This window comes from Homo sapiens, chromosome 9 (genome assembly GCF_000001405.40).
Source record: "Homo sapiens chromosome 9, GRCh38.p14 Primary Assembly".
Lineage (NCBI taxonomy): Eukaryota > Metazoa > Chordata > Mammalia > Primates > Hominidae > Homo > Homo sapiens.
In genome coordinates this window covers 92,981,303-93,004,947 of record NC_000009.12, presented here as the reverse complement: position 1 = coordinate 93,004,947, position 23,645 = coordinate 92,981,303, and the positions used below count along the sequence as shown (strand labels likewise).

General features: G+C 42.5%; 1 protein-coding gene across 5 annotated transcripts in view, besides 2 other annotated features; it reads right to left on the bottom strand.

The window, feature by feature from the left end:
• The window catches only part of FGD3 (FYVE, RhoGEF and PH domain containing 3), an 88,711-nt gene that overhangs the window by 31,286 nt on the left and 33,780 nt on the right, over positions 1-23,645 (bottom strand). For all 5 annotated transcript variants that reach the window (NM_001083536.2, NM_001369951.1, NM_001286993.2 and 2 more), the window contains exons 4-5: positions 1,934-2,023; positions 811-947 (exon numbers count right to left, since the gene is read on the bottom strand). In NM_001083536.2, the coding sequence (NP_001077005.1) occupies positions 811-947; positions 1,934-2,023 (227 nt within the window). The remainder of the gene's footprint in view (positions 1-810; positions 948-1,933; positions 2,024-23,645) is intronic.
• Positions 887-1,181: a silencer, noted in NCBI's record as "tiled region #11306; HepG2 Repressive DNase matched - State 12:CtcfO". NCBI's record gives its function as "represses a minimal TATA promoter and a strong SV40 promoter by Sharpr-MPRA in HepG2 cells {active_cell/tissue: HepG2}" and the evidence as "EXISTENCE:reporter gene assay evidence [ECO:0000049][PMID:27701403]".
• Positions 16,316-17,014: an enhancer, noted in NCBI's record as "H3K27ac hESC enhancer chr9:95750216-95750914 (GRCh37/hg19 assembly coordinates)". NCBI's record gives its function as "activates a minimal SCP1, AML or CMV promoter by ChIP-STARR-seq in naive and primed H9 embryonic stem cells {active_cell/tissue: H9 hESC(naive and primed)}" and the evidence as "EXISTENCE:reporter gene assay evidence [ECO:0000049][PMID:30033119]".

Sequence of the window (23,645 nt, the reverse complement as noted above, 5' to 3'; positions counted from 1 at the left end):
ACAATGTAAACCTGTTCGGCAGCTGGACCATGTCCTTGTACAGATTTATAAATTGACATAGCCCCTCCCTGAGCAACAGGTGAAGGGACTCCCCCTGGCCTCCCATTCCAGTCAAGCCTCTGTGGTCTCCTGGGTTGCAGCTTGGAGAACGGGCTGGTGGGACACAGAAGGGCCAGGCTCCTGATGCAGAGGGAAGCCGGGCCTGCGAAGGGCACAGGCAGTAGAGACCCTAAGTCAAACAGCAGCGGCACCCAGAATGAGGGGAAACGCAACACGCAACGTGGGGAACTGATGAGTCTGGGGGCCAGCCTGGGATGTTTCATGAATTGTGACTTGCACTGAGCTGTCCCTCTGCTAATGAACAGAAGCAGCAGTGGGACAGAGGGACAGGCCACAGGGACAGCAGGAGGAGGATCTGAGGTCCACTGTTGAGAGGGAAAAACAGCATTTTTAAAACAAAGGTGGAGTATAAGCTAGGAGGGAAAAGAAAACCAACTAGCACTATCCACTGTGTGGTGTTTCCAGATGTCAAACCTCATTTTAGTTTCAGAGCCCCAAGTGGGGCGTTAAAAGCCCTTCATTCCGCATCATCTGCTTTCTCAGGAACTAAGCCTTGGAGACCGTAAGTGGCTGGTCAAGGTCACCAACCAGGAAGGGGTGGAGTCTGGATCGGACCCAGGACCGTGCAGAGAAGGGAGGCGCCCAGCCACCATGAGACAGTCCCCCAGCACTTGCCTCGCTCTCAGGCACATGAACCCTGGTCTAGAGAACACTTGAGGGGCCCCATGGGCATGCGCAGATGGTACTCACCACTCCTCCGTGATCCGCGTCTTCAGCTCCGGCAGCAGGAACTGCCCGTGGAAGCGGTGGATGGAGGAGATGTTAGAGAATATGCCCATGATGACTTCTGGAGGGATCCCCGCATCCGTCAGCCTGGTGCAGAAAACCTGAGCATAGAGAAGCCCACGTGTGGCCAGTGAGCCTCTTCCACTGAGCACAGTTGCCGCCCCGCTTCGGCCACAGGTGAGGGCGCTCGGGAGGGGCCGCTGCTGCCACCTTGTGTTTTCTTAATGAATTTCAGAATTATTGTCCTCCCTTTTCATCCAACTGGTTCAGACAACCTCATGGTCTTAATGCAAGCTCACTTATGACTTACGAATGTGGGTGAGGCAGGGACAGTCGCCTGAGGACAGGGAATGACATCTTTCCTCAGCCACCTCTCATGCGAAATGGAAGGTTCAGACTTCCTTTTCTTTCTCGTGAGATAAAAACAGCAGCAGCACTGTCTGTCAAAACCCCAGCTTCCATGGGTGCTTTATTTCCTGTGCTCATAAACCCCACGTTGTCATGTGGATAGAGATGAGTGGCAAACCCTGTCCCAAGTACTTATGCAGAAAAACATCCAGAAGCCATTTACATGCTCAGATCATGCAGCTGCCAAGAAGAAATGTCCCACAGGTGACTTGGCAAAGCCTTCTCCTCAGAGCTACAAGCACTGAAAACAAAAAATAAGTTTCTAGGACGGGCGTGGTGGCTCACGCCTGTAATCCCAGGACTTTGGGAGGCCGAGGCTGGTGGATCACCTGAGGTCAGGAGTTCAAGACCAGCCTGACAAATATGGTGAAACCCCGTCTCTACTATAAATACAAAAATTAGCTGGGCGTGGTGGCATGTGCCTGTAGTCCCAGCTACTCGGGAGGCTGAGACAGGAGAATTGCTTGAACTGGAGAGGCGGAGGTTGCAGTGAGCCAAGATCGCGCCACTGCACTCCAGCTTGGGTGACAGAGTGAGACTTTGTCTCAAAAAAAAAAAAAAGTTTGTAGACCAGACTTAAATTTGTCTGAGTTTTAGTATTTAAGTCATTCACACTGCACCTATAATGCCCAGCCAATGCTAAGAGATACTGAAACTGCCCCCAAGCCATGTGGGCTACCTGGTCCAGCAGGTGCAGCCGCTTCACATAGGTCTCCTCGGTGTGCAGGAGCTCCTGGGCAATGTGGAGAAGCTTCTGGGGGCCAGAGTGCTGCGGAGAGAAGAGATGCAGCTCACCTGGGGAAGATGAGCCTTGGGGAATCGGCACCTAACGGGCTGCCACTGTGTGCAGGAGAACCAGGGGCCACAGGGGTGGCAGGAGGCCACTGGGGCAAGAGAAGGGGCAGGAGGGGCCACTGTGATGGCGATGTGGTGCTCAGTTCTCATAGATGGGCCTTTGACTACAGAGCAGTTGCAGCGACCACGTCAAAATATATTGCACAGTGATGTCAGCAAGATGATGGACTAAACAGCTCTCGGCCCTCCTTCTGCTCAGAGACATAAGGTTAACAACAATATATGGGCCAGAGCACCTGTGTGAGAATTCCAGAGACCAGCCGAGAAGCTACAGCACCCAAGCCATTATAAAGCCAAGAAAAGATTTCAGTAAAAGGTGTAGGGAAATTGGTGATGTTTGGCAAGCTTGTCTTAGTCCATTTTACCTGCTCTACATGCGTACCACCATGTCCAGCTAGTTTTTTTCTATTTTCGTTTTGTAGAGATGAGGTTTTGCCATGTTGCCCAGGCTGGTCTTGAACTCCTGGACTCAACCTATCTGCCCGCCTCAGCCTCCCAAAATGCTGGGATTACAGGTGTGAGCCACCGTGCCTGGCCTCCTCCTGTTTTTGACATTGGGCAGGCTAACAAACCTCTGTAAGTTTCAGTGACCCCAAATGCAAAGCAGCAGCGTCACCACCTAGTACCTACATCACAGGGATGTTATGAGGATGGAGTGGAACAACACATATGAAACACTTCATGCAGGACAGGGCACAGAGTATGAGCTAATTAAAGCTGGAAATCATCACTATGGAAGTTTTCACTGAAAATGCCTGAGACTGGGTAATTTCTAAACAAAAGAAGTTTATTTCTCACACTTCTGAGGGTTGATCTCTGCTTCCAAGATGGTGGCCTGAACACTATCCCCTCACATAGTGGAAGCAGTAGAAGAGAAAAAGGGAGATGAAGGCTGTGTCTTCACATGGTGGAAGAGCAGAGAGCAAACCCATGAACTTTCTCTTTTATAAAGGCCCTAATGCTATTCATGATGGCTCTGACTTCATTACTTAATCACCTCCTGAAGGCCCTATTGTGGCAGGCCAATTCTCCCTGACAATCACATAGACAGGCCTGCATGACAGTCACACAGACAGATTTCCACAGCATGGCCTTAACATGGAGCAAGTAGTTAAACCTAGGGAAATCAGTGCCCAGACATCAAAGCTAGAAATAAAACACAGTCAGTAGGAGCCTTGCATAATCTTCTCCCTAACCTGGAGCAAGTCAAAATAATGGAAGCAGTCTTATATTCCTAGTGCCAGGACCCATCTTGGGTCAACGGAATCTGAGACAAGTCAAGGTAACAGAGGCAGCTATTTGAATAGATTCATTGGAGAGTCTAAGGCAGCTCTCCAGACCAAGCTGTAAAGAAGATAAGATAGAAATAATCACTCCAGTACCACAGTAGACAGGCCTTGAAGGTACTGGGGCTCTTTTAATCAGACTTAGCAAGCATTTTTTGCTTCTGACCTTCTAGATGAAACAAAATTAGCTACAAAGAAACAGAAAAATGTAGCCCAATCAAAGGAACAAAATAAAAAACTTCAAAACTGATCTTAAGGAAACACAGATCTATGAGCTGCTTGAGAAAAAACATCGAAATAGTTGTCATAAAGATGCTCAATGAGATAAAAGAGAACAGATAGATGACTTTAAAAAAAAATCAGGAAATGATGCATGAACAAAGTGAGAATATCAACAAAGAGATAGAAACTATTAAAAAGGACAAACCAGACATTCTGGAGCTGAAATACACTTTAATTGAACCGACAAATTTTTAAGAGGGGTTTGACAGCAGACTTGATCAGGCAGAAGAAAAACTGGGCAAACCTGAAGAGAGGTCATTTGAAATCATAGAGTCAGATAAGAAAAAAAAAAGAAAGAAGAGCAAGGAGAGCCTAAGGGATGTATGGGCCACTATCAAGTAGATCAATATATGCACTTGTAAGTTCCAAAAGAGAAGAGAGAGAAAGGGGCAAAGAGTTTATTTACAGAAATAATGGCTGAACATTTCCCAAATTTGAGGAAAGCAATGGACTTAAAAATTCAAGAATCTCAAAGACCTCCAACTGGGGTAAATCAACAGAGAACCATACCAAGACATATTATAATTATATAACTGTCTAAAGTCAAATACAAAGAAAATCTTGAAAGCAGCGAGAGAAAAATAATTTGTCTCATGTAAGGGGTCTTCCATAAGATTATGAGAGGATCTGTCAGTGGTAACTTTGCAGACCAGAAGGCAGAGGGAGGATACATTCAAAGTGCTGAAAGAAAAAAAAACTGTCAACAAAGAATATTGTATTTGATAAAACTGTTATTCAAAAATGGAGAAATAAACACTTTTCCAGTTAAACAAAAACTGAGGGAGTTCTTTGCCATTAAATGTGCTCTAAAATAAAAAAGATTAAGGAGTACTTTATGTTAAAACAAAAGGATAGTAAAAAGCAACACAAAACCACAGGATAATATAAAGTTCTTCAGTGAAGGTGAACACATGGATAAATACAATAATTTGTACTATTATCCTTTTGGTGCATAGAATTCAAATCACAAAAACATTTAAACATTTAAATCTATATGAATAAATAAAGATGAATTCATGACATCAATCAGAGCAGGGAGAGGGAGGTGGAATTGTAAAAGAGTAGAGTTTTTGCATGTGATTGAAGTTGTTATTAGTTTAAAATAGAATGCTATAACTTTAAAATGTTTTATGTAATTGCAATGGTAACCACAAATAAAATATCTATAGATAAAAAAGGAAATGAGAAAGAAATAAAAGCATATCACTACAAAAAAAAATCAATTAAACACAAAGAAAGATAGTAAGAGAGTAAAGGAGGGACACAAAAAACCTATAAGACATCCAGAAAACAACCAAATGGCAGTAGTAGGTCCTTTCCTATCAGTAACTACTTTAAATGTAAATGGATTAAACTTCCCAATCAAAAGACATATTGGCAGCCAGGCGTGGTGGCTCACACCTGTAATCCCAGCACTTTGAGAGGACAAGGCAGGGAGATCATGAAGTCAGGAGTTTGAAACGAGCCTGACCAACATGGTAAAACCCCATCTCAACTAAAAATACAAAAATTAGCTGGGCGTGATAGTAGGCACCTGTAATCCCAGCTACTCAGGAGGCTGAGGCAGGAGAATCGCTTGAACCCGGGAGGCGGAGGTTACAGCGAGCTGAGATTGTGCCACTGCACTCCAGCCTGGGAAACAGACCAAGACTCTGTCTTTAAAAAAAAAAAAAAAAAAAAAGGTTCCAAGATGGCTGAATAGGAAAAGCTCCAGTCTGCAGCTCCCAGCATAAGCGACGCATTAGACGGATGATTTCTGCATTTCCGATTGAGGTACCAGGTTGATCTCACTGGGGCTTGTCAGACAGTGGGTGCAGCCCATGGAGCAGGGTGGGGCATTGCCACACCCGGGAAGCACAAGGGGTTGGGGAATTCCCTTTCCTAGCAAAGGGAAGCCGTGACAGACGGTACCTGGAAAATCGAGACACTCCCACCCTAATACTGTGCTTTTCCAATGGCCTTAGCAAACGGCACACCAGGAGATTATATCCCTCGCCTGGCTCAGAGGGTCCCACGCCCACGGAGCCTTGCTCACTGCTTGCACAGCAGTCTGAGATTGAACTGCAAGGCAGCAGCGAGGCTGGGGGAGGGGCGTCCACCATTGCTGAGGCTTGAGTAGGTAAACAAAGCCGCCGGGAAACTCGAACTGAGTGGAGCCCACCACAGCTCAAGGAAGCCTGCCTGCCTCTGTAGACTCCACCTCTGGGGGTAGGGCATAGCTGAACAAAAGGCAGCAGAAACTTCTGCAGAGTTAAACGTCCCTGTCTGACAGCTTTGAAGAGAGTAGTGCTTCTCCCAGCACAGAGTTTGAGATCTGAGAATGGACAGACTGCCTCCTCAAGTGGGTCCCTGACCCCCGAGTAGCCTAACTGGGAGACACTTCCCAGTAGGGGCCGACTGACACCCCATACAGCCGGGTGCCCCTCTGAGACAAAGCTTCCAGAAGAAGGATCAGACAGCAACATTTGCTGTTCTGCAATATTTGCTGTTCTGCAGCCTCCACTTGTGATACCCAGGCAAACAGGGAGTGGACCTCCAGCAAACTCCAACAGACCTGCAGCTGAGGGTCCTGACTGTTAGACAGAAAACTAACAAACAGAAAGGACATCCACACCAAAATCCCATCTGTATGTCACCATCATCAACGACCAAAGGTAGATAAAACCACAAAGATGGGGAGAAACCAGAGCAGAAAAGCTGAAAATTCTAAAAATCAGAGCACCTCTTCTCCTCCAAAGGAACACAGCTCCTTGCCAGCAACGGAACAAAGCTGGAAGGAGAATGACTTTGGTGAGTTGACGAAAGTAAGCTTCAGATGATTGGTAATAACAAACTTCTCCAAGCTAAAGGAGGATGTTTGAACCCATCGCAAAGAAGCTAAAAACCTTGAAAAAAGGTTAGACGAATAGCTAACTAGAATAACCAGTGTAGAGAAGTCCTTAAATGACCTGATGGAGCTGAAAACCATGGCAGGAGAACTACGTGACGCATGCACAAGCTTCAGTAGCTGATTTGATCAAGTGGAAGAAAGGGTATCAGTGATTGAAGATCAAATGAATGAAATGAAGTGAGAAGAGAAGTTTAGAGAAAAAAGAGTAAAAAGAAACAAACAAAGCCTCCAAGAAATATGAGACTATGTGAAAAGACCAAACCTCTGTCTGATTGGTGTACCTGAAAGTGACGGGGAGAATGGAACCAAGTTGGAAAACACTCTGCAGGATATTATCCAGGAGAACTTCGCCAACCTAGTGAGGCAGGCCAACATTCAAATTCAGGAAATACAGAGAATGCCACAAAGATACTCCTTGAGAAGAGCAACTCCAAGACACATAATTGTCAGATTCACCAAAGTTGAAATGAAGGAAAAAATGTTAAGGGCAGCCAGAGAGAAAGGTTGGGTTATCCACAAAGGGAAGCCCATCAGACTAACAGTGGATCTCTCGGCAGAAACTCTACAAGCCAGAAGAGAGTGGGGGCCAATATTCAACATTCTTAAAGTATTTTCAACCCAGAATTTCATATCCAGCCAAACTAAGCTTCACAAGTGAAGGAGAAATAAAATCCTTTACAGACAAACAAATGCTGAGAGGTTTTGTTACCACCAGGCCTGCCTTACAAGAGGTCCTGAAGGAAGCACTAAATATGGAAAGGAACAACCGGTACCAGCCACTGCAAAAACGTGCCAAATTATAAAGACCATCAATGCTAGGAAGAAACTGCATCAACTAACGAGCAAAATAACCAGCTAACATCATAATGACAGGATCAAATTCACACATAAGAATATTAAACTTAAATGTAAATGGGCTAAATGCTCCAATTAAAAGACACAGACTGGCAAATTGGATAAAGAGTCAAGACCCATCAATGTGCTGTATTCAAGAGACCCGTCTCACGTGCAGAGACACACATAGGCTCAAAATAAAGGGATGGAGGAAGATCTATCAAGCAAATGGAAAACAAAAAAGCAGGGGTTGCAATCCTAGTCTCTGATAAAACAGTCTTTAAACCAACAAAGATCAAAAGAGACAAAGAAGGCCATTGCATAATGGTAAAGGGACCAATTCAACAAGAAGAGCTAACTATCCTAAATATATATGCACCCAATACAGGAGCACCCATATTCATAAAGCAAGTCCTTAGAGACCTACAAAGAGACTTAGACTCCCACACAAAAATAATGGGAGACTTTAACACCCCACTGTCAACATTAGACAGATCAACAAGACAAAGTTAACAAGGATATCCAGGAATTGAACTCAGCTCTGCACCAAGTGGACCTAATAGACATCTACAGAACTCTACACCCCAGATCAACAGAATATAAATTCTTCTCAGCACCACATCACACTTATTCCAAAATGGACCACATAGTTGGAAGTAAAGCACTCTTCAGCAAAGGTAAAAGAACAAAAACTATAACAAACTGTCTCTCAGACCACAGTGCAATCAAACTAGAACTCAGGATTAAGAAACTCACTCAAAACCGCTCAACTACATGGAAACTGAACAACCTGCTCCTGAATGACTACTGGGTACATAACGAAATGAAGGAAGAAATAAAGATGTTCTTTGAAACCAATGAGAACAAAGACACAACATACCAGAATCTCTGGGACACATTTAAAGCAGGGTGTAGAGCGAAATTTATAGCACTAAATGCTCACAAGAGAAAGCAGGAAAGATCTAAAATGGACACCCTAACATCACAATTAAAAGAACTAGAGAAGCAAGAGCAAACACATTCAAAAGCTAGCAGAAGGCAAGAAATAACTAAGATCAGAGCAGAACTGAAGGAGACAGAGACACAAAAAACCCTTCAAAAAAATCAATGAATCCAGGAGCTGGTTTTTTGAAAAGATCAACAAAATGGATAGACCATTAGCAAGACTAATAAAGAAGAAAAGAGAGAAAAATCAAATAGCAATAAAAAATGATAAAGAGGATATCACCACCGATCCCACAGAAATACAAACTACCATCAGCAAATACTATAAACACCTTTATGCAAATAAACTAGAAAATCTAGAAGAAATGGATAAATTCCTGGACACATAACACCCTCCCAAGACTAAACCAGGAAGAAGTTGAATCCCTGAATAGACCAATAACAGGTTCTGAAATTGAGGCAATAATTAATAGCCTACCAACCAAAAAAAGTCCAGGACCAGAAGGATTCACAGCCGAATTCTACCAGAGGTACAAAGAGGAGCTGGTACCATTCCTTCTGAAACTATTCCAATCAATAGAAAAAGAGGTTATCTTCCCTATTTCATTTTATGAGGCCAACAACATCCTGATACCAAAGCCTGGCAGAGACACAACAAAAAAAAAGAGAATTTTAGACCAATATCCCTGATGAACATCGATACCAAAATCCTCAATAAAATACTGGCAAACTGAATCCAGCAGCACATCAAAAGGCTTATCCATCACCATCAAGTTGGCCTCATCCCTGGGATGCAAGGCTGGTTCAACATACACAAATCAATAAATGTAATCCATCATATAAACAGAACCAAAGACAAAAACCACATGATTATCTCAATAGATGCAGAAAAGGCCTTCAACAAAATTCAACAGCCTTTCATGCTAAAAACTCTTGATAAACTAGATATTGATGGGACATATCTCAAAATAATAAGAGCTATTTATGACAAACCCACAGCCAATATCATACTGAATGAGCAAAAACTGGAAGCATTCCCTTTGAAAACTGGCATAAAACAGGGATGCCCTCTCTCACCACTCCTATTCAACGTAGTGTTGGAAGTTCTGGCCAGGGCAATCAGGCAAGAGAAAGAAATAAAGCATATTCAATTAGGAAAAGAGGAAGTCAAATTGTCCCTGTTTGCAGATGACATGATTGTATATTTAGAAAACCCCATCATCTCAGCCCAAAATCTCCTTAAGCTGATAAGCAACTTCACCAAAGTCTCAGGATACGAAATCAATTTGCAAAAATCACAAGCATTCCTTTACACCAATAACAGACAAACAGAGAGCCAAATCATGAGTGAACTCCCATTCACAATTGCTTCAAAGGGAATAAAATACCTAGGAATCCAACTTACAAGGGATGTGAAGGACCTCTTCAAGGAGAACTACAAACCACTGCTCAACGAAATAAAAGAGGACACAAACAAATGGAAGAACATTCCATGTTCATGGATAGGAAGAATCAATATTGTGAAAATGGCCATACTGACCAAGGTAATTTATAGATTCAATGCCATCCCCATCAAGCTACCAATGACTTTCTTCACAGAATTGGAAAAAACTACTTTAAAGTTCATATGGAACCAAAAAAGAGCCCGCATTGCCAAGACAATCCTAAGCCAAAAGAACAAAGCTGGAGGCATCATGCTACCCGACTTCAAACTATATTACAAGGCTACAGTAACCAAAACAGCATGGTACTGGTACCAAAACAGAGATATAGACCAATGGAACAGAATAGAGCCCCCGGAAATAATACCACACATCTACAACAATCTGATCTTTGACACACCTGACTAAAACAAGCAATGGGGAAAGGATTCCCTATTTAATAAATGGTACTGGGAAAACTGGCTAGCCATATGTAGAAAGCTGAAACTGGACCCCTTCCTTACATCTTATACAAAAATTAATTCAAGATGGATTAAAGACTTAAACGTTAGACCTAAAACCATAAAAACCCTGGAAGAAAAGCTAGGCAATACCATTCAGGCCATAAGCATGGGCAAGGACTTCATGACTAAAACACCAAAAGCAATTGCAATGGCAACAAAAGCCAAAATTGACAAATGGGATCTAATTAAACTAAAGAGCTTCTGCACAGCAAAAGAAACTACCATCAGAGTGAACAGGCAACCTACAGAATGGGAGAAAATTTTTGCAATCTACCCATCTGACAAAGGGCTAATATCCAGAATCTACAATGAACTTAAACAAATTTACAAGAAAAAAATCAAACAACCCCATCAAAAAGTGGGCAAAGGATATGAACAGACACTTCTCAAAAGAAGACATTCATGCAGCCAACATACACATGAAAAAATGCTCATCATCACTGGCCATCAGAGAAATGCAAATCAAAACCACCGTGAGATACCATCTAACACCAGTTAGAATGGCAATCATTAAAAAGTCAGGAAAGAACAGGTGCTGGAGAGGATGTGGAGAAATAGGAACGCTTTTACACTGTTGGTGGGACTGTAAACTAGTTCAACCATTGTGGAAGACAGTGTGGCGATTCCTCAAGGATCTAGAACTAGAAATATTATTTGACCCAGCCATCCCATTACTGGGCATATACCCAAAGGATTATAAATCACGCTGCTATAAAGACACATGCACATGTATGTTTATTGCAGCACTATTCACAATAGCAAAGACTTGGAACCAACCCAAATGTCCATCAATAATAGACTGGATTAAGAAAATGTGGCACATATACACCATGGAATACTATGCAGCCATAAAAAATGATGAGTTCATGTCCTTTGTAGGGACATGGATGAAGCTGGAAACCATCATTCTGAGCAAACTATCGCAAGGACGGAAAACCAAACACCGCATGTTCTCACTCATAGATGGGAATTGAACAATGAGAACACTTGGACACAGAGTGAGGAATATCACAAACTAGGGCCTGTCATGGGGTAAGGGGAGGGAGGAGGGATAGCATTAGGAGATTTACCTAATGTAAATGATGAGTTAACGGGTGCAGCACACCAACATGGCACATGTATACATATGTAACAAACCTGCACATTGTGCACATGTACCTTAGAACTTGAAGTATAATAATAATAAAAAAGAAAAAGACATATTGGCTGAATGGATTAAAAATAACAGCATCCAACTATATGCTGTTGAGAAGAGACTCACTTTAGATATAAGGACACACATAGGCTGAAAGTGACAGGATGGAAAAAGATACTTCATTCAAATGGTAACCAGAAGACAGCAGGAGTGGCCATAGTTAGATAAAATAGACTTTATAGCAAAAACTGTTACAAGGCTGGATGCAATGGTGTACACCTACAGTCCCCCCTACTCAGGAGGTTGAGGTAGGTCACTTAAGCCCAGGAGTTTGAGGCTATCCTGGGCAACATAGTGAGACCTTGTACCAAAAAAAAGAAGGAGAGTGATATCAGTAAGATGGCTGACTAGAAACACCTGGCATTCCTCCCCTCATCCCAAGAAAAGACTAAGGCACAAACAACTAAGATTTGGCTGGCGGTGGAGTGAGTGGTGGAGTAGAGATGCACCTGTGATGATTGAGAGAGCAGTGTGGAGGCACCCAGCCTCTAGTGGTCCCATCTCCCTCCAACCAGATAGCATCTATCCAGAGTCAGGAGGGACTTCCCTTTTCAGGGAAAAAGTATAACACAAGAGAATCCCACAGTCCTCGCAAGCCCCAAGCCCAGTTTGGAGAGTTGTGAGAATTTGCATAGCTACATCACCCGGATTAGGATCACAAAGTGTACACACCCCACCCCCCAACCACCCACTGTGAACGAGGCTGCTGTGGCATGGCACCATCCTGAGACCAGAGCAACCTCCAGAATGCTCCAGGCAGTAGCTACTGTACCTCTCTAGCACTGGGCTCCGTCTGCATTCCACCAAGACCACATGAGTGCTTGAATGCCACAACCCCAGATGCATAGAGCTTGGGCCCAGGATCAGCTGTGATTCTGTTCCTGCACAGCAGGGAAACCAACCCTCACTGCCACACTTTCAGCTAAAAGAACAGTCTGCCACTCCAACCCAGGAGCTCAAGCAATCCTCCCAGCTATTCTTCAGAAAGGAATGAGGAATAAAATCTTTAACCAACAAGCAAAATCTAAGGGAATTCATCACCACTAGACCAGTCTTATAAGAAATGCTCAAGACAGTCTTATATCTGGAAGTGAAAAGACAATAAACACCATCTTGAAAACATGTAAAACTATAAAACTCACTGGTAAAGCTGATACACAAATGATAAAAGAAATGAATCAAACCTTATCACTGCAGAAAACCACCCAACTACAAAAATAAATAATGAGAAGAAGTAACAAAGGATATACAAAACAACCAGAACACAATCAATAAAATGATAGGAGTAAGTTCTCACCAATCAATAATAATCTTGAATGTAAATAGATTAAATTCCCCTGTTTAAAAGATAAACTAGCTGAATGGATTAACAAACCAAGACCCAACTATATGCTGTCCACAAGAAACTCCCCTTACCTGTAAAGACACACATAAACTGAAAGTTAAGGATGAAAAAAGATAGTCCATGTAAACAGAAACCCAAAACAAGGAGGAGTAGCTATACTTATATCAGACGAAGAAGACTTCAAGTCAAAAACTATAAAAAGAAACAAAGAAAGACATTACATAATAATAAAGGGATTAATTCAGGAGGAGAATATAATTGCAAATATATATGCACCAAATACTAGAGCACCTAGATATAGAAAGCAAATATTATTAAATATAAAGGGAAAGATAGACCTCCAATACAATAGTGGTTGGAGACTTCAACACCCCACTCTCAGTATTAGATAGATCATCTAGACAGAAAATCAAAGACACATCAGATTTAAACTACACCATAGAACAAATGGACCTAACAGACATTTACAGAACATTTCACCCAACGGCTGCAGAATACACATTCTTCTCATGTACCCATGGAATATTCTCCAGGACTGACAATATGTTAGGACACAAAACAAGCCTCAGAATTTTTTTTAAATCAAAATTATATTAGGTATCTTATCTTACCACAATGGAATAAAACTAGACATCAACAACAAGAGAAACATTCAAAGCTATATCAATATATGGAAATTAAATAACATGCTCCTGAATGATGAATGGATGAAGGAAGAAATTAAGAATGAAATTTAAGGGCCGGGTGCAATGGCTCACACCTGTAATCCCAGCACTTTGTGAGGCCAAGGCTGGCATACTGCTTGAGCCTAGGAGTTTGAAACCAGCCTGGGAAACATGGTGAAACCCATCTCTACAAAAAAATATAAAAATTAGCTGGGTGTGGTGGTGGGTGACTGTAATCCCAGCTCCTCAGGAGGCTGAGGCAAGAGAATAGCTTGAGCTAGGGAGGCAGAGGTTGCAGGGAGCCAAGATTGCGCCACTGCACTCCAGCCTGGGTGACAGGGTGAGACTCTCTCAAAAACAAACAAACAAACAAACAAACAAACAAATCTCCAAACAAAAAAAGTCCAGGACCCAGTGGGTTCACCACTGAATTCTACTGAACCTATAAAGAACAATTGATACCAATTATCAAACTATTCCAAAAAATTGAATCGGAGGAAATTCTTCCTAACTCATTTTACAAGGTCATCATAACCTTGATACCAAAACCAGGAAAAGACACAACAAAAAAGAAAACTACAGGCCAATATCCCTGATGAACATAGATGAAAAAATCCTCAACAAAATACCCGCAAACCAAATCCAACAGCACATGAAAAAGATAACAAACCACAATCGAGTGGGATTTATCCCAGGATGCAAGGATTGTTCCATATACACAAATCAATAAATGTGATACATCACATTCACAGAACTAAGAACAAAAACCATATGATCATTTTAATATATGCTGAGACAGCATTTGATAAAATTCAGCATCCCTTTATTATAAACGCCCTCAACAAACTAGGTATAGAAGGAATATACCTCAAAATAATAAAGCCCATATGTGAGAAACCCACAGCTAACATCTTACTGAATGCAGAAAAGCTGAAAGCTTCTCCTCTAAGAATTGGAACAAGACAAGGATGCCCACTTTCCCCACTATTATTCAACATAGTACTGGAAGTTTTAGCCAGAAGAGTTAGGCAAGAGAAAGAAATAAAAGGCATCCAAATGGGAATAGAGGAAGTCAAATTGTCCCTGTTTGCAGATTATATAATCTTTTTTGTTTTTTTGATACAGGATCTCACTTGTTGCCCGCACCACCATACCCAGCTAACTTTTTAATTTTTTTGTATAGACAAGGTCTCACTATGTTGCTCAAGCTGGTCTTGAATTCCTTGGCTCAAGCAGTCCTCCCACCTCAGCCTCCCAAAGTTCTGGGATTACAGGTGTGAGCCACTAAACCTAGCTGATGTGATCTTATATATAGAAAACCTATATTGTATCACAAAACTCTTAGAACTGATAAAAAAAAATTTCATAAAGTTGAAGGGCACAAAATCAATATACGAACAACAGTAGTGTTTCTATACACAAACAACAAACTAGCTGAAAAAGAAATCAAGAAGGCAATCTCATATACAATAACTGCAAAATAAATACCTAGGAATACATTTAATGAAAAAGGTAAAAAAAAAAAAAAAAAACCTCTACAAGGTGTGAAAGGAAAAAAAAAACACAGGACCCCAATTCATAATGCCAAAAGAAAAAAATTAAGCTGAAAGCTGAGTCATGCAAGAAACTGCCTTTCCTTTTGTTCCTAAGCAGACAGCTATAGATGAAAGGTTAAATATCTCCACAGGTGGCTGCCCTATGTTTACCTCATCTTATGTAAAGTGCCGATTTACTGAGAACCAGATGAATACATAATTGACTATTCGCCTACCGGCTCCTTTTCTCTTGCAACATGTGGATTAACATACCTTCCCTTTCTCCCCTCCAGCCCACTTTTCCCCTTTAAATACTGAAGACTTCAAAGTCCTCTTTGGAGAAAGGCACAGGCCACAGACTGTTTTTCTATGATTCCATGTTTATTTCTTCCAAGCATGACCTCAACCTTGGCAAAATAAACTTCTAAATTGATTGAAACCAGTATCAGATACTTTTTGGTTTACAAAAGAAAACTAAAAAACACTGATGAGGCCAGGTGCGGTGGCTCACGCCTGTAATTCCATCACTTTGGGAGGCCAAGGTGGGCGGATGAAGAGGTCAGGGGTTGGCCAGGCGCGGTGGATCACGCCTGTAATCCCAGCACTTTGGGAGGCTGAGGCGGGTGGATCTCGAGGTCAGGAGATCAAGACCATCCTGGCTAACATGGTGAAACCCCGTCTCTACTAAAAACACAAAAATTATCCAGGTGTGGTGGCACGCATCTGTAGTCCCAGCTACTCAGGAGGCTGAGGCAGGAGAATCACTTGAACCTGGGAGGCAGAGGTTGCAGTGAGCCTAGACTGCGCCATTGCACTCCAGCCTGGGTGACAGAGCAAGACTCCATCTCAAAAACAAAACAAAACAAAACAAAAAAACACTGATGAAAGAAATTGAAGAGGATAATGTTTCATGAAAGGGCTGTGCTTGCAGAGACCCCTAAATGCTGAAGGAGTTGAGGAACCAAAGAACAAGGCAGACTAATGTAGTTTCTCAGCAGAGGGTGATTTATTGGGGAACTTACAGACAAGAGCATGGTCTTGGGTGGCCACAAAACAGGTAGATCTTCATGCTGTCAACCCCCAAACCCAGGACTTACATGCCATAGGGAAAGGGTATACAGTGCTTCAGAAGGAGTGTGTAGGACATTGAAATCAACCCCTCAGGGAAAGGCAAGAATGTTGTATTTATCATAGCCTAAGGGCAGGTTTTATGGTAAATATGTGTTTATGGTAACATCAAGGTTGTCATGACCTAAGATTAAGATTTACAGTAAGTACTTGCTCTTATATAAGGAACAGTAATAAGATAGAAATCTTAGAGGCATTCCTGGAACTATGATTAATCAGAAGTCAACATGGCAGATTAGTGTAAGGTAGGTAGCCAGGCAGACATGAGCAGGGGAGCAGGGGCCCCGCCACACCAGGAATATCAGGTGACCATCATCAGGTGATGGTCTTGATAGATGCAGGAGGCAGATAAGAAAGGGTCCCTGGAGAATCTCCAGCCTGCCCCACAAGCATTTATGCCAGATGTTTTTGTGTAGGTAAGGGAACCTGTGCAGGGTCTTGCCTGGGCATGCCCACAATGGACTGGAGGCCCACAGGTACTGGGGAAATGGGGTGGAGCTACCAGGAATGGTGGTAGCTTGGAGCCTTATGCAGGGTGGAGCCTTATGCAGGGGAGAAGCCTGGCCTCTTCAACTAGTGTGTGGTGGCCTGGTATTCAATCTGTGAGGTGGGAGCCTGTTGGCAGGACCCCTCTTTCTTTGCTGAGAGCTTTCTTTTTGTCTAATAAATCCGCCCTCCTCACCCTTCAATGTGTCCTTGTGCCTAATTTTTCCTGGTAATGAGACAAGAACCCGGATTTTAGCTGAACTAAGGAGCAAAAAATCCTGCATTGGTCAGGTGGTTGCTAAACAGCCTCTTTAAAATAATAACTGGTTGCAGCCAGCACCAGGGAAATGCAGTCTCCCAATAGATAGAAAAACCTGAAACAGATAATCAGCTTCCTGATAAGATCTCAAGAGTTGGATAAATGGACTCATGCATGCGCGCTAAGGGGCGAAATGGTGAAGTGTAATTGGTATATGACCGTCTAGGAACACTTGACAGGTACAGGAAGAATGGCTCAAGTGAGCATGCTCACAACTCCAGTAAACACACTACACATACGGCCCCTCCCAAGTGCTGGTGGGCCACTGGGCATGCAGACAGCCCACCACACGAAAGAATCAGGGGCGAAGGGATGTAACTCCCTGGAAGCATGCCAGTGCAGAATACCCCAAGTCAAAGGATAAACGGAGCACATGAATCTCTCAAGTCAGAGAGGAGGGACCTTGGAGTCTGCACTGAGTAGAACTGAGGCACCCATGGCCCTCCTAGACAGGAGGCTCATGAGAGTGGTAGGGCTAAAACCTAACACCATGCAATGTCTGTTGTTTCCTCTGCTTTTTCTTTTTTTTCTTTCTTTCTTTTTTTTTTTTTTGAGACAGAGTCTCGCTCTGTCGTCCAGGCTGGAGTGCAGTGGCACTATCTCGGCTCTCTGCAAGCTCCGCCTCCTGGGTTCACACCATTCTTCTGCCTCAGCCTCCCAAGTAGCTGGGATTACAGGCACCCACCACCACACTTAGCTATTTTTTTGTATTTTTAGTAGAGATGGGGTTTTACCGTGTTAGCCAGGATGGTCTCGATCTCCTGACCTCATGATCTGCCCACCTCAGCCTCCCAAAGTGCTGGCATTACAGGCGTGAGCCACTGCACACAGCCTCCTCTGCTTTTTCAACTAAAATTGGTTGTTTTCCAAAAACCCATACTGCCTATTCTCCTGTTTTCTCTGTGTGTGTTCTGAAATGGCTTGTGCACTCACTGGACTGTCTACCTCGGAGGCAAGTCTGCCTCTTTGTTTTCACTTTGTATGTCACTTGACTTCTTAAACACACACTCCCTGTTATTCATGCACTCATGGCTCTTGCTGAATTTGTGTGGCAGCAAAGACACAGGCTCCCTTGGGGATACGCCATGAGATTTATACTTGTTTTTACCCTACCAGCTCGGATGACCTCTAACCCTTCCCCTGACTACTGGCACATGGCCAGGACAGACACTAATTGGAACCCTGGCTCTGCCAGCTCCTTCTGACTTACCATGTGCTTTTCATTCCTGTTATGCCCCAGGGCCAAGTTTTCCAGTGGCTTTTGAAGCAGTTTGTCTGCGGGCACAGGGCCTCACTCTGTGGTCCTTTAAGGACCCTGCCTACTTGCTTTTTTGAGTTAGTACCTTTTTGGGATAAGGGAACATTCTTCCTTTGCCATTGCAAGTTCTTACCCCAAGCCCCAAGTCCTCCAGAGGTTCTTCTTTTATGTCAAGAGGGAAAATAAACATCGCCCTCTCAAATGGAAGGGCTGCTATTTTTGTAAGCATATAAAGGCTTTCCATGAATATTCCTCTCACCTCCTCCCACTTCCTCCTGTAGCCTCCATTTCTCTAATCACTTCCACACCCCTCTCAACATGCATCAAGACCTTCAAGGTCATATTCAAAGGCAGGGGAGTCAGCCCCCTTGTGGCAGTTAGCTGAAAAACAGGCTTCTCATCTACTTAAAGAACATGAGAGATGGGACTCTGAGAAAAGAGATCATCATTTTGTTGCTCAGAATGCTCCGAGCAAGTCACTATAAGGTCATGGAGATAAGGATATAGGCTGGCTGAAGTCCATAGGCACAAGAGACCCATAGGACAGAGATAAAGGCTGATAGATTATCATTAAAACAGAGATGAAGGCAAGGTTAAGGGTACATGGTAAGACTGGTTCATTCCAGAACCCCAAGGATGAGCAGGGGGCCCACTGTTCACTCTGGTATTTCCTCTGTTGTCAAGTGGGTAATTGTGATGAAATGGGACCAAGGTTAAGGGTACACAGTAAGACTGGTTCATTCTGGAACCCTAAGGATGAATGGGGGATGCCCTATTCAAGATAATAGGAAAGTAAGAAGGGACACATTTTACCTTTTTCCTTTTTTTCTCCACTGTTCTTTCTTCACAGATGGGTAATCACATCTCCATACCACAGGACACACCCCTCAGATGTATTCCCAAAAAGTGGGAAAAGTTTGATCCCCTAAACCTTAAAACAGAAAAATGGGCCAGGTGCGGTGGTTCATGCTTGTAATCCTAGCACTTTGGGAGGTTGAGGTGGGTGGATCACCTGAGGTGAGGAGTTTGAGACCAGCCTGACCAACATGGTGAAACCCCATCTCTACTAAATACAAAAAATTAGCCAGGAATGATGGCTGACACCCGTAATCCCAGATACTTGGGAGGCTGAGGCAGGAGAATCACTTGAACTCGGGAGGCAGAGGTTACAGTGAGCTAAGATTGTGCCACTGCACTCCAGCCTGGGCAACAAGAGCAAAACTCTGTCAAAAAACAAACAAATAAACAAACAAACAAAAATAGAAAAACTAGGTTTTCTTTGTAATACTGTTTTTCCTCAAAATTAACTGGGAAGAAATAACAAAAGTCAGCCTCAGAACCCAGTGCCTCTATGCAGGAAATCCTCAAAGTCACCTCCTCAGTCTTTTATAACTGGGAGTAGAATCAGGAGGACAGGGCTAAGGAAAAAGAGAAGTGCAGGGACCAGAGGCAGGCTTAACTACTGGCTGCTCTGCAAGCCCACCAGCCTCCTCCAGGTTTCCCTAAGGACACTCCTCCAGGTAACTGCCATTGGCGTGGGAAGCCAGGCCACTGGAAGGCAAACTGCCCCAGTGGGACAAACGGGAGGAAACCTCACATGGTTTCCCCTCTCTGCCAAAAGCTTGGCCACTGGAAACGGGACTGCTTTGAAGGCTGAAGGGCCCCCAGGACAGAATCCCAACCCCTGATGGCCTTGAGCTGGAGAGCTCTCTGCTCTAGCTGGCTTCCAAATCAGACATTGGCACTAGCAGGACAAAGCCAAGGGTGACTCTGGAGGCAGCAAATAAAATTATAAATTTCCCTTTGGGTTCAAGAGCTGCCTACTCTGTGCTAATCTCCTCTGAGCAATTCTTCTCCAAATGCAGTCAGGTAATGTGGGCAAATAGCACTCCCTCCCTCCAAAAAAAAAAAAAAGAAAAAAAAGATTCACACCCCTTTACATTATTTAAGAGACCAATTACCACTTTCCCACCAGTCCCTGGTAGTGTCTAAATACCCTACACCTCTTTGGGGCAAAAATATACTTTCCTAGATGGGTGTTTGCTTAATATTTACCTGACCTCTGAATTCATCTTTATCTCTAAGAGCTCTATTTCTCCTGGGAAAGCCACCTAAATCTTTAACCAATAACTTTAACCTGGACAGGCTAACCTCAGGGATTTAGAAATAGCCCACACTTATTTGGACAAACCCTAGCAAAAATCTAACCAAGGCATCTCTCAAGGGGGGATAACTTCTACAGTATGTAGATAACCTCTTTGTCTGCTCCCCCTTCACAGGACCCATACAGCAACATGTAGTATAAACCATAACTTCCTAACAGAAGGAAAATTAATTTGTCTAATTCAAAAGTTATAAAGGTAAAGGTATTGTTGGTAAGGAAGGTTATAAAGAAAAGTGATTTTGCATGAAAAGGATTTTGTATGGTAAATTCTTGTCCCAAAGTAAAATAACTGGTTGTTTAAAAGAGGGATGTTTAGGTCAAGTCAGAAAGTCCAAGCATGCCGTAGATGGTCAGTGCAAGTTGTAAAATGCTTTATAAACTGCGATCATGACTCTTAACTGTACAATTTGCCTGCTTTACAGCTAGGTAAGGCCTGGGGACATACAGAGCTAGCTGTATCCCCTCATCTATGCTGGAAAGAGTCAAATCTTATCTGCATTTCTGTTGGATGTCCTAGGCTCCAAACCTAGTGCATAATTAGAATTGCTTACTTACCAGGTTTTTCACCAAAAGTAAAAGTTGCTAAGAGTTAACAGTGTAACGTGTACTTGACACTACTGGAAAAACAGTTTACATGCAAGATGTGTAGGGAAAGCAGAATGTGCTTTTGGTAAAAGATTATAAGAAGGCATGGAAATGTGGATATTTTTGCCTAGTTTAGAGGGTTAAAGGATTGTTTTAAATTATATATGATAAAGATAAAGGTTAAAGCAAGTTGTGGAAGGTTTGTAAAAATTAATCTTGTAAAAGAAATTCTGTATGTGACCATATTGGCTAGAGTTAAAGGAGTATTCAGTTTTTCCATAAATTGAACATTGGAATAAAAGCACAACAGAGTTTTATTAAAGCATTATTCTGCTCCTTATAAATGTGTTATTGGTACATGTTCCAAAATTATGCAAAACTTCTATAATTATGACATAACTTACTATGTTATCACTAATAATGATAACTGTTTTTCGTTTTTTGGTTTTTTTGAGATGGAGTCTCGCTCTGTTGCCCAGGCTGGAGTGCAGTGGTGTGATCTCGGCTCACTGAAAGCTCTGCCTCCCGGGTGCACGCCGTTCTCCTGCCTCAGCCTCCCGAGTAGCTGGGACTACAGGTGCCCGCCACCTCGCCTGGCTAATTTTTTTTTGTATTTTTAGTAGAGACGGGGTTTCACCATATTAGTCAGGATGGTCTTGATCTCCTGACCTCATGATCCACCCGCCTCAGCCTCCCAAAGTGCTGGGATTACAGGAGTGAGCCACCATGCCCAACCAATAATGATAATTGTTATGTTAAATTAGTGTGCCACAGAGATAACAAATTTCTTTTTCAATTGTGTCTTTGACTGTGGCACCATAAGACTTTTTGTCATCCACAGACAATTGTTGACTTGTTTTAATCCTTTTTAAAAGGTGAATTTTTTTTTTTTAGACAGAGTCTCACTCTGTTGCTCAGGTTGGGGTACAGTGGTACGATCTCAGCTCACTGTGACCTCTGCCTCCCAGGTTCAAGCAATTCTCCTGCCTCAGCCTCCCAAGTAGCTGGGATTATAGGCAAGCACCACCATGCCCAGCTAATTTTTGTATTTTTAGTAGAGACAGGGTTTGGCCATGTTGGCCAGGCTGGTCTTGAACTCCTGACCTCAGGTGATCCATTTGCCTCAGCCTCTCAAAGTGCTGGGATTACAGGCATGAGCCACCGTCCCTGGCCAAAAGGTGGTTTTTATAGTCAGCTATAGGACTCTAACAGGTGCTCCTAAATGCAGGTTTCTGATAACGTTGGAGATTGTGATATTAGAATAGAGGAAAAACTTTCAGGACTCTTATGGAGAGCTGAAATGTTCATGAATATCAAGCAGAACAGGAGCGAACTGCATGAACGGTGATCTTGCCGTTGCACTCTAGCCTGGGTGACAGAGCAAGACTCTGTCTCCAAAAAAAAAAAATGAATGAATACATTCTTTTTAAAAAGAAAAACCATAGAACTACCATATGATCCAGCAATCACACGACTGGACATTTATCCAAAGGAAGGGAACTCAGTATATTGAAGGGACAGCTGCACCTCCATGTTTATTGCAGCACTATTCACAGCAGCCAAGATATGGAATCAACCTGGGTGTCCAACAACAGATGAGTGAATAAGGAAAATGTGGTATATATAGACAATGTCATACTACTGAGTCATAAAAATATGAAATCCTGTCATTTGTGGCAACATGGATGGAACTAGACAACATTTAGTTAAGCAAAATAAGCCAGGAACAGAAAGTTAAACACCACATATTCTTACTCATACATGGAAGCTAAAAAAAGTTGATCTCACAGAAGTAAAAAGTACAGCAGAGAATACTAGAGACTAGGAAGCGTAGGAGGAAGAGAGGGATAGGGAGAGATTTGTTAAAGGATATAAAATTGCAGATAGATAAAAGGAGTAATTTCCAGTGTTCTATGACACTGTAGAAGGACTATTGTTAACAATCGTATAGTATATAGTTTCAATAGCTAGAAGGAGGGTATTGAGTGTTCCCAACACAAAGAAATGATAAATGTTTCAAATGATGGCTATGTTAATTGCCATGATCTAATCACTATATATTCTATGTATCAAAACATCACTATGTAACTCAGGTATATGTACAGCTAGTATCTGTCACTTTAAAAAAAAAGAATCACTGCTGCCAACTGGAAAAAAAATAACTGTTACAAGAAGCAAAGAATGACATTATATAGTTATAAAAAGGTCAAGTCACCAAAAAGATGTGACAGTTATAAATATTTATGCACCAAACCTCAGCGCTCCTAAATATATGAAGGAAACTTTGGCAAAATTGAAGGAAAAAATAGAGATCGGCAAAATAATATTAGGAGACTTTAATATCTCACTTTCAATAAACCAATAAAATAAACAGACAGAAGATCAATAAGGAAATAGAGAACTTGAACAACTCTACAGACAGTTGAACCAAACAGACAATTACAGAACACGCTGCCCAAAAACAGCACAATATATGTTCTTCTCAAGTGTACATGAAACATTCTCCAGGATAGACCATATATTAGGCATAAAACAAGTCTCAACAAACACACAAAGACTGAAATTATACAAACTTTTTCTTTCTTTTTTTTCTTTTTTTTTTTTTTTTGGAGATGGAATCTCGCTCTGTCACCCAGGCTGGAGTGCAGTGGCGCGATATCAGGTCACTGCAAGC